The following is a 17,656-nucleotide window of genomic DNA, read 5'->3' as shown; positions in this document are numbered from 1 at the left end:
TAGGAACTCATAGCTCAGAGTCTAATGAGAGATAAATGGCTCATCATATTTCCCTTTTCATCCTGGCTGCCAGGAAGTTCAAGTGCTTTTGGTCTTTCCTTTTTATTTTTTGATTGCAAACTTCCTTGGGAAGGGGAAGTGGAAACCATGAAAGAAGAGACAACATTTCTCCACCACTTACAGGTTCCAGCCACTGCATCCCTCCATGATCTCCCAAGGTCATGGGCTCTCAAGGCTGGGAGAACAAGAAAAGGCTAAGCCAGGCTAAGGGCAACACACCCACCTGCTCTCTTTGTCTGCATACATTTCTATGCACAGCGGGTTGATGGTGGCATCTATGACCACCCAGGAGCCTCCCCGGAGCTCCGCATAGGGCGGGATATAGATCAGGATGGGCTGTTTGTATTGTCTAAGGCCGTCCACGATGTAGGCTCCAAACTTCAGCACCTGGTCATACATGTCTGAAAAGCAAAGCAGCCTCCCAGTTCAGGGCCCTCACTCATCCACACATGAAACCCACTGCCCTAGTTGTCCTGGGGGTCCTGGGAGAGTGAGCCCAGCTGAGAGGCTTGGAGAGCACTGGGCTGGGATTTGAGAGTACTGATCACTCTCTAAGTGGCTGTGTGACCTCGAACAGGTCATTCACCCAGTGTGGGCCTCAGTGGCCTCATCTGTGAAGGCACAGGGAAAAACCAATCTCTAGGATTCTTTCCAACTGGAATTGAAATGCCCTCACCCATGACTGTCCCTGCCCTGCCCCACCATTTCCAGCAAAGAAAACCCTCACTAACAGTCACACTGATCCTTCCCCAATGTGCATGGGCAACATGGCCCTTATCTTCCACCAAGACACATCTCTCCAGGTCCCCAGGCACCCTACATGAAAACAAGAATGCAATAATAACAGCACTGACAATCACACTGCATGTCAGCAATTAGCTCATCAGACTCTTACCTCGGCCCTCTGAGGTTGGTCCTGTTCTTAACCCCCTTTTACAAAGGAGGGAAACTGAGGCTCAGTGATGTCACCCAGTTAACAAGGACTCACAGCAGGTCTGTCTGCCTCCCATCCAGCTCTGTCCTCAACACCCCAGTGATCCAACAGCCACTCTCTCCCAAAACATGCTTGGTGGCTTAAAAAGCCCTCACACAATTGTAAGGTCACATGAGGCTCAGAGCAGCTTTCTGCAGAGGGAAGGGTGGACAAACATCCTCCTCACCTTGCCAAATGGGGAGGTGCCTGCCCAGGTCACCCGGCAGCTCCTGGGGCTGCCCCTCCCTGACCTGCACCTCATGGTGTGACCTCTAGAAAGTGACACTTTGCCTCCAACCCTCAGTTCCTCATTGTTTTTTTTTTGTTTTTTTGTTTTTTTTTTTGAGATGGGGGTCTCACTCCGTTGCCCAGGCTGGAGTACAGCCTCAACCTCCTGGGCTCAAGCAATCCTCCCACCTCAGCCTCCCAAATAGCTGGGACAATAGGCATGTGCCACCATGCCCAGCTAATTTTTTAAACATTTATTTTGTTTTTTTGTAGAGACAGGGTCTTGCTATACTGCCCCAGGCTGGTCTCAAACTCCTGGCCTCAAATGATCTTTCTGCCTTGGCCTCCCAAAGCACCGGGATTACAGGTGTCTGCCACTGTGCCCAGCAGTTCCTCATCTTTAAAACGGGGTAGTGGGGCACCTGAACAATATTTTCTCCTCAGGGTTGTTGGGAGACACAGCTAAGATGATGATGGGCACAGACTAGGACATTAGCATCACCACCCAGAGGGTGCTGTCCTGGGTGCTGACCCCAAGGCTTTGGGGTAACATAGGCAGGGAGGGGCTTACCTTTCATGCCACCGGAGAACCCCCTCCAGTTGGCAAAGATCATCAGGGGCAACTTCTCCCGGTTGAAGTCCTTGACGGCCTGGGCGGTTTTGTAGGCTGAGTCTGGGAACCACACCTGTCCTGCCTGCTGAATTATCTGGAACACAGAGCTGCGGGGATCAGATGTCTCTGCACAACCACAACCCAGGACAGAGGGACGGCTGCCAGAACCTCGCTCTGGATGGCAGGCGATCTGATCTGTGCTGGCCCCAGCACCAGAGCCAGGGCTCAGAAGGATGGAAGCCCCATCTCCTCCGCTCAGGACCAGGCTGACCCTCCCATTGCAGCCCAGCAAGGTTCCCGTTGCCCTCCTTTACAGGCTCCGAGGGGTGCCAAGCTCGTCAAGGTCACACTGAGTTGGGGTAAAGCCGGCCCTGGAACCCAGCCCTCTTGACTCCTGAGCTCTTCTCAGTCTGTGCCCTGGCCTAGCGCAGAAACAGCAACAGAGGCAGGGCAGGAGGTGGGAGGGGTTTCTAGGGACCTTTATCATCTGCTGAGGAAGAAGCAAGATGGTGCAGCCATTTATGCAACCCATAGAGAAAGTGTCAGAGAAACAGGCACTGAGCCCCCCAGGGCCAGGGACTGCACTGGGTCCCCTGCTTCTCCACCTAAGTTGGCAGGGCAGGGATGGGACCCCCACGCCCAGGACCCACTCTCGACAGTACCGCTGGCTAAACCAGCAGCCACAGCTCCCGGCCCCCTCACCTTGGCCTCAGAATCCAGGTTGGCAGGGTCTGCAGGGACTGCCACCTCCACAGTCCGTGTCTCCACAGCAATCACTCCCACGGGAATCCCCCCAAGCCTGGAAAATGAGCACCAGTGAGCCAGGCCCTGGGCAGCACCCCAGGTGCATTTGGGGACCTCTGGGTGTGGGGGTGAGGGCACGTGGAGGAGAATGCTCTTTTTAATCTGGCGGATTATTTTATTGGAAGGCAAAGAAAAAGCCCCCAAATGGTAAGAGCCTCGAAAGGTAGCAGACCTATTGGTGCCCTTTTTGAGGCAAGAACCATCAGAGGAGGGCTGGGATGGTATAGGGCCTGGAGCAGCATGAACCACTAGAACTTTCTGTGACGAGGGCCACGTTCTCCATCTGCACTGTCCAATACAGGAGCTGTGGGCTGCACGTGGAACGTGGCAAGTGTGAGGAATGGAACAGGTCATCCTCTGTCACTTTGACTTAGTTCAATTTAAACTGAAGGAGCCGGGCATGGTGGCTTATGCCTGTAATCCCAGCACTTTGAGAGTCTGAAGCAGGAGGATTGCTTGAGTCCAGGAGTTTGAGACCAGCCTGGACAGCATAGTGAGACCCTGTATCTGCAAAAAATAAAAAAACTGGCTAGGTGTGGTGGCGCACACCTCTAGTCCCAGCTACTTGGGAGGCTGAGGTGGGAGGATTGCTTGAGCCCAGGAGGTCAAGGCTGCAGTGAACAGCGATCATGCCTCTGCACTCCAGCCTGGGTGACAGAGCAAGACCTTGTCTCAAAATAATAATAATAATAATGAAACTAAAGCATCACATGTAGCCAGCAGCTACTACACTGGTCTAGACATCAAGTTGCACTTGGAAAGGGCTGAGGGATATTGAACTGGACAGAGACTCAGCTCAGGGGATGCCATGACATCAGTTACTTGCTACTGAACTGTGCATCACTACATGGTTCTCGTTTACCCTATGATGCAGGGGTGGGGGAGAGCAGTCTTCAAATCAAAGTGTTTTCACATGGAAGAAGGAGTGGATTTTTTTTTTTTTATTTTTTGCTTTTAAAAATATAATTTATTTTATTTTATTTATTTTGAAGATGGAGTCTCGCTCTGTCACCCAGGCTGGAGTGCAATGGCGCAATCTCGGCTCACTGCAACATCCACCTTCTGGGTTCAAGCAATTCTGCTGCTTCAGCCCCCCGAGTAGCTGGGATTACAGGTGCCTGCCACCACGCCCAGCTAATTTTTGTATTTTCAGTAGAGACGGGGTTTCGCCATGTTGGCCAGGCTGGTCTCGAACTCCTGACTGCAGGTGATCCACCCGCCTTGGCCTCCCAACGTGCTGGGATTACAGGTGTGAGCTGCCACGCCCGGCCCTGGCTGCACTTTAGTATTTATTGCCGAAGATGTAAATGATAGCAGCCATTCCCACTTATGGAGTATGTCGATTTTAAATATTTCACACATGTTATTGCATCTAATCATCACAATAATCCTTTGGGGTAGAATTATTATCCCTATTTTACAGATGTGAAGGACCAGAGAGGGTGAGTGATGGAGATGGGGCTTGGCCTCAGGTCTAATGCAGAGCCTGGACTTATAGCTGCGACATCGTACCAGGAATGAGTGGTAAATGATGAGGAGGGAGCTCGGGGCTCATTATAAGGAGGAACTTTCAGGCAGGTGGAGCTGTCCAAAGAGATGAAAGCTACAAGGCTGAAGGGTGAGCTGCCCAGCTTGGAAAGCATGCAAGCATTGCAGCCTCCCACCAACAGTGGCATACAACAGGGCTCCTGTCCATGGCTCTCCTAAGATGGAATTCAGAGTGCCAGTGTCTGTGAAGTTTTCTGGGGAGAGCACCCAAGGCCACCTTCTGATGCCCAAAGGGGTTGTTAGCCCTTGTGGCCTGGGGACTGACTACAGGGTCCCAGGCCTCAGGAGGAGGCTGGCTGAGATACCTTCTAAGGGCACACACAGACACTGCAGAAATCATTCCCCAAATTGGTTTTTTCTTTTAGAAAATCCTGAGGCCAAGAAGAAAATTGCCCCTGGAGGTCCCTGGCCTCACACCTCGGGGCCCCAATGCCTGGTGAGTCAGACATGGGCAGCCTGCTCCCGTCTTCATGATTACCTTGCTCGTCCTGTCACCACGGTCTGCGCCCAGGGTGCCATGATTTCCTTGAAACTGCCGTGGTCAAAGAATCCGCTCTGCCACGTTCCCTTCAGAGCTGTGGACAGAAGGGCAGAAGCCCAGGCTGGAGGGCCAGGTGGCTGGGGGCCCCCAGGACACTCCTGGCTGTGCAAAAGCTCCCTAAGGACAGCCTGGCTTTAACCTCATAGCCCAGATACCCCTTTCTACCTAAAACCACACAGCCCAACCCCTTCCCTCCTTCCCAAAATGCCTCAAAAGACAAACAGGGCTGCAATAAATATACCAAGTCAAGAATTCAGTCTGTATGGAATATGTGACTACCATCAACAGCCAGCCAACTCCAAACACATAGATTCTAATCATGGTCTCTGCCTTCTCTTCCTAAGATGCAGAGAGTGGACAGACACCTCCAGAAGGTGGGATTTTAGGAAGGGACCACCTTTCCCGAAAAACTCATCCCTCACCTGCTAGCTGCTGGCTGCAGCTTCATAACCACTTAATTGGGAAAAAAGTTTCAATTTCCCAGAGAGACAGAGAGAGAATATGATGATGTCAATGACAGCCATTGGTGGGGAAGAAATGATGACTTAAATCCATGCAACAGCGTAAATGGCTGTGGCTCTGACCAGGAGGGGGCAGCCAGAGTAAGAGGCATCTCAGGCATGGGAGGCCCGGCACCCAGGCATGCAACAGCACAGCTTCAGCATCTGCCGAGGACTGGCCTGACAGTGAGAAGCCGAACATTTTTTAATTGAGATAAGCAGCCCCCTCAGTGTTTACAGGCCAGAAAGCCCAAGAGAAATGAAAAGCAAGAGAAGGAAGCCACAGGACTCCTTGCACTGGCTGGAGTCTAGCACACTCCCGAGGGTCACCTCTCCTGCATTGCACAGCCAAGGAGCAGCCAAGTCTAAAGGTAGCAGCATGTGAAATTCTAGATTTGGGATATAGTGACGGGAGCAGCTCAACTTTCCTGTTGTGTTCTGGTTGCTCAGACTGAAATAATATACCTCCAAGAGAGAAACTCATCCCTTTCAGAGAGAGAATGTGTGTGTGCAAAAATGTGTGTGCATGTGCATGTGTGTTCACGTGTCCACGTGCGTGTGTGTGTGTGTGTGTGTGTAGGTATAGAAGAGGTAAAATTGGCCAGGCATGGTGGCTCATGTCTGTAATTCCAGCACTTTGGGAGGCTGAGGCAGGCAGATCACTTGAGGTCATGTGTTCAAGACCAGCCTGGCCAACATGGTGAAACTCCGCCTCTACTAAAAATACAAAAATTAGCTGGGTGTGGTGGCAGGCACCTGTAATCCCAGCTACTCGGTAGACTGAGTCAGGAGAATCACTTGAACCCAGGAGGTAGAGATTGCAGTAAGCCAAGATCGCGCCACTGCACTCCAGCCTGGGCGACAGAGCAACACTGTCTCAAAAAAAAAAAAAGAAGAGGAGACCAGATTGCCTATCCTGTGTAAACTCACAGAGTTCCTTTGTAAGAGAGAAAGAAAGAGAAAGATGCAGTCTTCTCTTTGAAACTCTGATGTTTCAGCACTGAATTTTCTACTGATGAGACAGTGGGGCAGTTAGAGACCACGGAGCATGGAGCATCAGGGGAGGGAGACCAGGACCACCATTGCACCCCACCTCCATCTATTAGCTCCAGAAACTGGAGGCTGTTTCCACCCCTTCTTGGTCAATGGCTCAGGAAAAGCCTAGAGTAAAATCTCCATTTCTCTACTTTCCCTGCATTTGATTTCAGGTATACCTCTCTGGGATATGAGAACGAATATCAAGCCTTTGTCTCAAGCGCTTGAGACAAAGTGCTCCTTTGTCTCAAGCCCTAGAAAGAAACCCGAGACCAGGTCCTAGGCAAAATACTTTAGAACTTACTTGGGTGAGGCCTTCCTGCAAGCATCCACCGGGGGTCGTAGGGAGCTCTGGATGGGAGGAATTCAATTTCTCTGTCAATGGGGTCAGTGGGTGTGATGATAGGGACAGGGCTGTGATTATCCTAAAAAAGAAAGCCAAGTCTCTGACTTAGTCTGTGGTGCTTGTCAATAATACCTCTGATCAGCACTTTGCTCCTCTGACTATGATTATGCCTGGTTATGCAGCAATATCCCCTCCCTAGGGCTCCTGAAGCCACTGCTCTGATTGGAAAATGCCAGATAAGGACTGGCCATCCCATGGATTCTTCTGAAATCTAGTTTATGAACTCCTGAGTGTGCTTCCCGGTTCAGATGGTGTCACTGATGCTGGGAAGTTACAGAAACGCAGGAAAGGGTTGCTACTGCTATATATGGTCAGATAGGAGGAAAAACATCTTAAAAGAAAGAAAAAGAGATTGGTTGCAGAGAATGGTAACAGATGGCATGCAGATGGGGAAAAGGGGCACTTGGGAATACAAACTGACATTTGTGACTTGGGGTTCTTGGCAGAAGATCTGGAATGACCTGAACTCTGTAAACCCAACCTCTCAGAAATGGTTATAATGAAGAATGACAACCTCACTCATTTGTAAGGAATGTTACAGTTAACCAAGAACTGTGCCCACGATTGTCCCCTTCTTACTTTGGTGAGGACCTACCAAACGTTGTGCTTTAAATATCACTTCACTTAATCATCATGATAACACCATGAGTTAGGTGCTATTATTATTCTCATTTCACAGATGAGGAAACAGGCTCAGAAAAACTTAGGGACTCTCCCAGTGTCTTACAGCTACCGAGGAGGAAGGCAGGAATCAAATCCAGCCTGACTGTAAAGCTTAAAGACTCAGTATTGTCCAATGCTGCCTCTTGTCAAGAGGCAATACTACCTCTTTCTAAAGGATTAACAGATAGCATCCTTACAATGGCATTAGTGCCACCAAAAGAGCAAAGGACACCTAGTACAGGGCTGGGCATCAGAGAAGGAAGAAGGAGTAAGAAAAATCAACCCCAGCCACATGTGCAGTGCTTCCTGCTCCTCAGCCTCCCACACCACCCAGGAGGTGACAGGGACAGAATTAGCCAATGAGCTTAATAAGAGTCTTCCAGGTTCTAAGCTGCAGGGGGAGTACTGCACCTTTGGCATATAGGACAGCCACTCCAGGATGGTATAAACCCCCTCAAAGTCATCTGGCACGGTGATGTGGGAGACACCATTGTAATGCATGATCTGAACGCCACCCAGCTGGTTGTTGGATGTGTAGACCTCTCTTCCCAGGACCTGCTTTGACACAACATGGTTAGCAATGTCCTGCACGGTGCAGGGCTCTACCACCTGTTTGGAAATCATCTCAGTGCTTCTCAATCCTGGCTACACATTAGAATCACCCAGGAGATTTCACAAATCCTGATGCTCAGGCTACATCCAGACCAATTATATCAGAATCTTCGAGGAATTAGTTTTTGTGTTTTGTTTGTTTTTTAGTTTCTAGATAATTCCAATATGCAGGCCAATTTGAGAACTGGTGATGCAGCTGACTTCTACCTTGACCATCTCAAAAGCAAAACCCTAGCTAGTGTTTCTGATTCAGCAGGTCTGCAGCAGGGCTTGAGGATGTGCATTTCTGACAAGTTCCCATCTGATGCTGATGCTGTTGGTTCAAGAACCAGGCTTTGAGACTTTGGCTGAGATTTGAGCAGACATTAAGTATAGAGACTTTTCAACAAGGAAAATGTTTTAATACAGTGAAAAAAGTAGAATACAAAACTGCATATTCACTATAAATTAACCACATAAAGACAGAAGATGAGAGGGAACTATACCAGAATGATAGAAGCTGCAAAATTACTTTTTTGGGGGGTTCCTTTTCTAATTTTCTGCAATGTGTAATGGCACTTCAATAATTTGTTTTAAAATGTCAGTAATACAGGGAGTTAGATCGACCAGAATTGCCTAAAACTAATTTTTTTTTTCTCATAAGGACCCAGATAGCTGCAAATTGGAAAAAAAGAGCTCTTGTATCAGTAGGAATGAAACTGGCTTCATATTGAGAAAAATCCCCCACCAGAGACCAATGGGAATGTTAAAATGACTCCTGGCCCCCAAGGATCCACTCTGCACAGGCCCCTTTTTGGTCACCTTGTTGAGAGCACTTGCTCCTGTGAGGATGATGTGGGAATTCTCCACCTGGATCACTCGCTGGCCCAGCCTCACCAAGTAGGCCCCAATCCCAATGGCTCGGCAGGTCACCTGTGGAGAGAGGACCCCCTCTGAATTCTGGAGAGTGGCGAGGGACCCACCCCCCACAGCAGGGAAGAGTCCAGGAACCTGCTGGGACCAAATGGAAGTTATGTTTTGACCAATGGCAACCCGATTTGGAGCCAAACCACAGTAGAGGCAAAAGCCTATTCTTCAGGCCACTTTATTGAGCTTGGATTCCTATCTGGAAATAACATGGTTAACAAAGATTGCTGTAAAGACAAGCAGCAGACAGTGAATGTTTCAGATTTTAAGAGGCTTGTGTGCAGCTCTTCTGAGCCTGGGCATTCATGGGCCATTGCAGCCTCTTAACAACCAAAAGGACACCTAGGAGTGCATGTAAAAACTGGTGAAATTCAAAATAAGGTCTGTACTGAGTTAACAATATTGTGCCAATGTCAGTTTCCTGGTTTCGATAATGTACTACGGTTATGTAAGTACCATAGGGGAAGCTGGGTGAAGGGTACTTGGAAATTCTCTGTAGTATCTTATAACTTACGGTGGGTCCTAGATGACTTCAAAATAAAAAGACTATACATATAATCTAGAAAACAAGCCCAAGGAAGATGCTTATGACCAACATTTTCCACTTGGAAACTGAAGATTCAACATTGCATGTACAAATAAGGCCTTCCAAGGCAGTTTATCATTAAAGAGTACTATTATTCCTGCTGCTGCTGCTGTTAGAGTAGGTAGTTAAGCAGACATGAGCAGGGCAGGAGAGGAAGGCAACCATCAGGTGATAGTTAGGCAGTTGCTAAAGTGTCTCTCTAAAATTAATATTGGTCACAGCTGGCTCCAGGGAAAGGCAATCTCCTGATAGATAGAAAACACCTGAAGCTAGTGATAAGCAGCTTCCCCATAAGATCTCAGGAGCTGGGTGGGTGGGCTCAAGCATGCATGCTAAGAGGTAAGATGGCAGAGTTTATCTGGTACCGTGCCCTTCTTCTAGGAACACTCGACTGGTAAAGGAGGAAAGCCTCAAGTGAGCATGCACACAACTTCAGTAAACACACTGTTCATGCGGCCCCTCCTAAGTGCTGGCAGACCACGTGCATGCAGACAGCCCACCCCAAGGGAAGAATCAGGGGAGAAGAAACACAAACCCTGGAATCATGCCAATGCATAAAACCTCAAAAGGGTTGGATGAGGCACTTGGATCTCTCAGGTTGCCTTGTTTGGCCCTCTTCCAAGTGTACTTCATTTCATTCTTGCTTTAAAACTTTTTAATAAACTTTCACTCCTGCTGAGAGACTTGCCTCGGTCTCTCACTCTGCCTTAGACCCATACAGATTCACCACCACAAACACTACTACCACTACTACTACTACCACCACCACTACTACCACCACTGCTAGTACTAGAATTACTACTAGTACTACTACTACTACTACAGTAGTACTACTACTAGAAACAGAAAACATTTTTGGAAAGGCCATGGGGATGGGATGGGGACTACTCCTTATATGCCAGTTAAAGTCAGAGAAAAGTTCTTCTAAACATTCAGTACCTTGAAAATAAGATGAGATTGGACCCTGATTCAAACAAACCACTAGAAAAGGGTATTTTGAGATAACTGTTAAACCACACTGGGTTTCAATGATATTGCTGATTCTGTTGGGTGTAATATTAGTATTTCAGTTATGTTTTTAAAAACCGGGGGAAGAGGGTGAGAGTCATTATCTGTTAAAGATCTACCCTTACGTATTTATGGATGAAAAGACATGATGGGGGCTGGCTTTAAAATACTCTAAAACAGGTGCAGGGGATGGGGGTGAGATTGAGGAAATATCAGTGGGCTGGCATGTGGTAACTGTAGGAGGTATGTGACGGGCACATGGGGCTTATTATTGATTCTCTCTAATTTTGTGACAATTTTAAAGTTTCTATAATGGAAAGTTGAAAAGTAAGAGAAAATAGAAGAAGACTCACCAAGCTAATGGTGACGATCTCTTCGTAAGCCAGAGAGGACTCCCCAGCAATCATGCCTGAGCCCCTCAGATTCTCCACGCCCAAGCCATCATCCTTCCCGATGATATCCGTGATCATGTATCTTCAAAAGCAAGCACAGGTTAAAGGCTGGGCTCTAGCCCCAAAAAATCCAAGGTGGATGCATTTCCCAAGAAGGGACTGACTGGGCAGCAAGGTGAGAGATTGGAAGCAGACAAAGCATCCAGAGGCAAAATGAAATTGGCATCTAGAACCCTCAAAATGAGTGCTAAGATTTCTAAAAGGGCAAGTGCAGCATCAACAATCATCACCCTGCTCTGTAATCCCAGCAGTTTGGGAGGACGAGGCGGGCAGATTACTTGAGGTCAGGAGTTTGAGACCAGCCTGGCCAATATGGCGAAACCCCATCTCTACTAAAAATACAAAAGTTAGCTGGGCGTGGTGGTGCACGCCTGTAATCCCAGCTACTTGGGAAGCTGAGGCAGAAGAATCGCTTGAACCTGGGAAGTGGAGGTTGCAGTGAGCCAAGATTACACCACTGCACTCCAGCCTGGGTGACAGAGCGGGATTCTGTCTCAAATAAATAAATAAATCATCACACTGCTCCCATCTGTGAAAGGAAAATAAAAACTAGGACCACGATTCACAATGCCAAAAGGAACAATTTAAGCTGAAGCTGAGTTGTGCAAGCTGCCTTTCCTTTTGTTTCTTTAGTAAGCAGATAGATACAGATAAAAGCTGAAATATCTCCACAGGTAGTTCCTCTATGTCCACCTTATCTTATAGAAAGTGCTGACTTACTGAGCGCAGGAAGAATACATAACTGACTTCCCCTGCCTGCGCCTTTTCTCCTGCAACATGTGATTACCAGAACTTCCCTCTTTCCCCTCCAGCCTGCTTTTCTCCTTTAAATACTGAAGCCCTCCAAATCATCTTTGAAGAAAGGTACACGCCACAGACGGTTTCTATGATTCCGTGTTCTTTGCTTCTGGATGTGTCCCTAACCTTGGCAAAATAAACTTCTCAATTGATTGAGACCTGTCTCAGATACTTTTTGGTTTATACAACCAAAGATATCTGCCTGTTCAGGGGCTGTCTCAGTGAAATATCACCCTCGGCCCATATTCCTCCAACGGTCTACAGAGAGATGGGGGTACACAGAGGAAACCCATTCACAATCAATCAATCAAAAATTCCAGGGCCACATAATGAGAAACACTGTCCCGCCAGCCTCTGTTAGAGATTCACAATGCACTTTAGCATGTGTGATGGTTAATATTAAGTGTCAACTTTAGGATGCAAAGTACTGTTTCTGGGTGTGTCTTTGAGGGTGTTGCTAGAGGAGATTAACATTTGAGTCAGTGGACTGGGAGAGGAAGACCCATCCTCAATGTGGGTGCGCACCATCCAGTCATCCAGCTGCCAGCGCGGCTAGAAAAAGCAGGTGAAAGAAGGTGGAGTAAGCTGCCTTGCTGAGTCTTCTGGCTTTCATCTTTCTCACATGCTGGAAGCTTCCTGCCCTCAAACATCAGACTCCAGGTTCTTCGGCCTTTGGACTCTTGGACTCACGCCAGTGGTTTGCCAGGGGCCCTCAGGCCTTTGGCCACTGAAGGCTGCACTATTGGCTTCCCTACTTTTGAGGCTTTTAGACTCAGACCGAGCCACTACTGGCTTCCTTGCTCCTCAGCTTGCAGACAGCCTATCATGGGACTTCACCTTATGATCATGTGAGTCAATTCTCCTTAATAAAGTCCCTTTCATATATACATATATCCTACTAGTCCTGTCCCTCTGGAGAACGCTGACTAATACAGCATGCTACAGGTACTAAGAAGGTCTGCAATAAAGATGTTTATGAGATCTCATTTAACCCAGTGTTTCCCAAACTCATCTGACTATGGAATTTCCCCCCAGCTTGTCACTAACATTGCAAAAAACCCAGTCTAGGAAATCCTGAGTCAGTTAATCCCACTGAGAAAAACATAACTTGTCCTGGAAAAGATAGTAGCCTTTGAATGCTCTCGAAGAACAGACCTCTCTCTGCCCCACCCATACCTTCCCAGTTTGCCAAGTCACCGCTGCATCAGTTTGGTCACAAAATGTGAGCCTGCGGCTCCTAGGAGATTCACGAGAATCCAATCTCATTCTCCCTACATGACGTGCTATTTTTTGTGAAAGGAGTCACTCATTTTAGAATGACAAGGATGGACTCACCTTGGAGAGTTTAACAAATGTTTAAGGCATCAGTGCCCCCAACAGGCATTGGTTCCCATCATACAAACACCACCACCCCACTGGAAAATATCGCCACAAGCCCCGAGGAAAGAAGACAGCTGAAATTAACCATGAGCAAAATTAAGGAGCTACCTGATAAGTTATTTACCTGGACTCTCCTCCTTCCTCGATGTGTTTACAGTGGACGGAGTTCAGGGAGCTGATTCTGGTGTAGTCTTGGGGAGTCAGGTACAGGTATTTAAATCCCTTAAAAAATACTTTAGTGAGGCTACGAATCCAGTTCCCTGCACTGAAAGCCACTGTTTTTTTTTTCTTAATGTGAACATCGTAGGGATGGATGTTAATAACATGTTAGTAACATGTCAATGACACATTAACACATCTCATGTAAATACCGTATTAATAACAGCCATAAACTGAAGTTCTGCTTTGAGCTAAGCTCTCCTCTAAGGACTATCTCATTTTTATTTCTTATTGCCAGCACCCCAACATGAAATTTTAATTTTCAAGATACACTGTTTAACCACTATTTACATACTCTGTATATGTATATATGTTAAAAACTATTTTATTGCCACCCCAAAAATTATTTTTCTGTCTTCTTGGGGGTAGTGGGCAATATCGCCCCCGAGAATGCATGCTCTGAATGGAAAGGATGACTGTCCCCTGTCATTTCACATCACAGAATGCGTGCGCTTCCCTCATTCATCTTGCCTTTTATGGCAAGCTGGTATCTATACAACTCCCCAAAGATTTTTCTTTTTTTTTGAGATGGGGGGTCTCACTCAGTTGCCCAGTCTGGAGTGCAGTGGTATGATGATCATGGCTCACTGCAGCCTTGAACTCCTGGGCTCCAAGTGATCCTCCCACTTCAACTTCCCAAGTAGCTGAGGCTGACTACAGGCAGGCACCATCATGCTCACCTAGTTTTTTCATTAGTAGAGACGAAGTCTGGCTATGCTGCCTAGGTTACCTAGCTTGGTCATGAATTCCTGGCTTCAAGCTATCCTCCCACCCAAGCCTCCTGAGTTGCTGGGATGACAGGTGTGAGCCATAATTCTAAGAACGCTATGAGGCCAGGGAGTTGACACAATCACCTCTGCATTCTCAGTGCACACTGCATTCAGGAGCGCTCAGTGTATATCAGCTCAGGGTTTATAGACTTTTTTCATTATCCCCGTTAAGGAGCCTTTTTAGATCTTTTTTTTCTCATCACCATCCCCCCCGCCACAGTGAAATGTTAGTATCACTGATACACTGTATGCCTGTTTATACACTACATGTACATCTGTGCTTTATACATAAGTGAGATTTTTTTCACCTCTTGCAGGTGCTAGCACTCCCACTGAAAATACAGTAGTAGCTGAGCAGAATCACCCTGCCCCGCCAGTTTCACGACGTACTTTGTGGGGGTCTTCTGGGTCCACCCAAGCCACGTGGAACATGTGTTTGATCTCCTCTGCCATGCCAATACGGGCGCCACTGTTGGCTGCCACGTAAATTTTGGGAATGCCCTCTGCCCGGGCCATCTCGGATGCCCGCAGGTACAGAAGGTCCTCTCCAGGGCCAAAGGATCCAATGCGAAAGGTGATGTCATTGCCGATGACGATCACATCCCGTCCTTCCGGGTACTCCTGGGTCTTAAACCTCATTTTGAAGGCCACCATGCCCACCTGGCAAGGGGATGAATGCACAAGGAAAATGAGTTTGTTTCTTTGGGGGAAAACTTTTTATTTTATTTTAGTTATTATTATTTTTTTTAGATACAGGGTCTTGCTCTGTTGCGCAGGCCAGAGTGCAGTGGTGCAATCACAGCTCATTGCAGCCTCAACTTTCTGGGCTTAAGCAATCACTCCTGCCTCAGTCTCTCGAGTAGCTGGGACTATAGGAGCACACCACCACACACAGCTAATTTTAAAATTTTATGTAGAGACAGGTTCTCACCATGTAGCCCAGGCTGGTCTTGAACTTCTGACCTCAAGTGATCCACCCACCTTGGCCTCCCAAAGCACTGGGATTACAGGTGTGAGCTACTGCACCTGGCCCAAAAATATTTTTAAGGGGGTGACTCCAGCCAGGGGTTAGGCTCCGCTGAGCTATTACCTCATTTCCACCAGGAAGTCGGTTCATCTCCACCAGCTGGCCCTGAGAGTCCAACACTAATTCAGTGTATGTCAGGATGTCTTTGGGATACTTGTCTGGGGAGCCCCACAGTTTAAAGAGAGCCTGGGGAGAGAAGAGGAAAGAGAAAAAACTTGAAGTCATCAGTAGGGAAGAACTATCTTTCCCAGACAGAGATGATCTGTCATGATTCCAGGGTGAATTCTGTAGTTCACTCTCTCTTTTTGAATCATGAAATATTTAAAGCATATTTAAATATGAGCACCCATCCAGTGGCTCTGTCAAATCTTGATTTTTCCATAGTTGTTTAAAGTTTTTGAAAGAAAGAAGAAAGATGCGATTGAAGCCCCAGCTCATTCTTCCTCCCAACTCCAACCCACAGGTGACCATTCCCTTGAATTCAGTGCCTACCCAGTCCTATGCATGCTTTTTTTTTCATTTTCCTTTATCCTGTATGCATACATTGGAAACATACAATATCGTTTTGCACTGCAAACTTTAAATAAAGAGTACCACACTGTACACATCCTTCCGCAAATTACTTTTTCTATTTTTTTTTTCTCTTGTTGCCCAGGCTGGAGTGCAATGGCGCAATCTCAGCTCACCGCAACCTCTGCCTCCCGGATTCAGTGATTCTCCTGCCTCAACCTCCCGGGTTGAGGCACCACCACACCTGGCTAATTTTGTATTTTTAGTAGAGACAGGGTTTCTCCATGTTGGTCAGGCTAGTCTCAAATTCCTGACCTCAGGTGATCCACCCACCATAGCCTCCCAAAGTGCTGGGATTACAGGCGTGAGCCACCACGCCCGGCAGCAAATTACTTTTTCTACTCCTCTTTGTTTGAGAGATTTATCCATATTGATAAATTTAGCTCTGGTCTGCTGTTCAGTTTTCCATTCTCTCGATAGATAGATAGATAAATAGATAGATATAGACATAGATATAGATATAGAGGCAGACAGACAGACAGACAGCTGGGTGTGGTGGCTCATGCCTGTAATCCAAACACTTCGGGAGGCTGAGGCAGGCAGATCACCTGAGGCCGGGAGTTTGAGACCAGCCTGGCCAACATAGTGAAACCCTGTCTCCACTATAAATAAAAAAATTAGCCAGGCATGGTGGCTCATGCCTGTAAAAAAGAGACAATGGATTTATCTAAAAAAGAGACGATGGATTTGCTTCTGGTTCAGTCATGTTTCTTCCCTTATAGCTCTTGAGGTCAAAGGCAAAAGGATACAGACAATGACATTCTTAATCATAAGTTTCCACTTATTAAGCGCCCACTGAATACATACACTTTTCCAACAACTTTTGGTAGGTACTGTTATTATTCTTATTTTACAGAAGAGGAAACTGAGGCCCAGAGAGGTGAAGGAACTTGGCTAGGGACAGCAGGAAGCAAGGGGACAGATCCAGCATTCGAGCTGAGGCCCGAGTTACTCTAAAGAGCAGCTTTTCCTACTCTTTCATATCCTCTATGCATGAGGCATAGGCAGAGGTAGGAACAGATGCTTCCTGCCTACACTGGAAGGTCCTTGACCTTGGTTTCATGAACGTCATTCACTTGTTGATGGGGTTGTTGTTTTTCTTGTAAATTTGTTTGCGTTCTTTGTAGATTCTGGATATTAGCCCTTTGTCAGATGAGTAGATTGCAAAAATTTTCTCCCATTCTGTAGGCTGCCTGTTCACTCTAATGGTAGTTTCTTTTGCTGTGCAGAAGCTCTTTAGTTTAATTAGATCCCATACCAACATGGCACATGTATACATATGTAACAAACCTGCACATTGTGCACATGTACCCTAGAACTTAAAGTATAATAAATAAATAAATAAATATATATATATATATATAATGTCATTCCAAAGCAATCCTGGAAAATGAAGAGACATTCACATCACCAATGTCAGTGGTTCAGGCTCCTTTAAAGCCCCTAGGGCATAAACATATAAAGGCATAAAAAATACTTGAAGAAAATGCACCCAAATGTTCTTTCAGGCATTGATGGTGGGAAAATTACATATGAATAGAATTTTACTTCCTTATTCTTACCTTTCCATAGTTTCCTATGTATACTTTAATCATCAGAAAAACATAATAAAACATTATTTTTTTGTTTTTGTTTTTGTTTTTGAGACAGAGTCTCGCTCTGTCACCAGGGCTAGAGTGCAGTGGGGCCATCTCAGCTCACTGCAGCCTCCACCTCCCGGGTTCAAGCAATTCTCCTGCCTCAGCCTCCCGAGTAGCTGGGACTACAGGTGCCTGCCACTACGCCTGGTTAATTTTCGTATTTTTAGTAGAGATGGGGTTTCACCATGTTGGCCAGGCTGGTCTTAAACTCCTGACCTCAAATGATCCACCTGCCTCAGCCTCCCAAAGTGCTGGGATTACAGGCGTGAGCCACTGTGCCCAACCCAAAACATTATTTTTTAAGAGTAGACTAAAAA

General features: G+C 46.9%; 1 protein-coding gene across 15 annotated transcripts in view; it reads right to left on the bottom strand.

Annotated features, from left to right (window-relative positions):
* Positions 1–17,656, bottom strand: part of ACACB (acetyl-CoA carboxylase beta) — a 157,038-nt gene that overhangs the window by 7,286 nt on the left and 132,096 nt on the right. For 10 of the 15 annotated variants that reach the window (XM_047428764.1, NM_001412734.1, NM_001412737.1 and 7 more), the window contains 11 exons: positions 15,193–15,315; positions 14,493–14,762; positions 13,238–13,335; positions 10,837–10,957; positions 8,785–8,895; positions 7,783–7,926; positions 6,607–6,727; positions 4,705–4,801; positions 2,577–2,673; positions 1,833–1,968; positions 284–461 (listed from right to left, as the gene is read on the bottom strand). In XM_047428764.1, coding sequence (XP_047284720.1) covers positions 284–461; positions 1,833–1,968; positions 2,577–2,673; positions 4,705–4,801; positions 6,607–6,727; positions 7,783–7,926; positions 8,785–8,895; positions 10,837–10,957; positions 13,238–13,335; positions 14,493–14,762; positions 15,193–15,315 — 1,496 coding nt within the window. Of the gene's footprint in view, positions 1–283; positions 462–791; positions 877–1,832; positions 1,982–2,576; positions 2,674–4,704; positions 4,802–6,606; positions 6,728–7,782; positions 7,927–8,362; positions 8,896–10,836; positions 10,958–13,237; positions 13,336–14,492; positions 14,763–15,192; positions 15,316–17,656 lie in introns of those variants that run through there. The other 5 variants (XM_047428766.1, XM_047428767.1, XM_047428768.1 and 2 more) reach the window with 5 other exon arrangements.

The sequence above is a fragment of the Homo sapiens genome, chromosome 12, assembly GCF_000001405.40.
Source record: "Homo sapiens chromosome 12, GRCh38.p14 Primary Assembly".
Classification (NCBI taxonomy): domain Eukaryota; kingdom Metazoa; phylum Chordata; class Mammalia; order Primates; family Hominidae; genus Homo; species Homo sapiens.
Note: the sequence above shows the minus strand (reverse complement) of the source record. Positions and strands in the feature narration are given on the sequence as shown.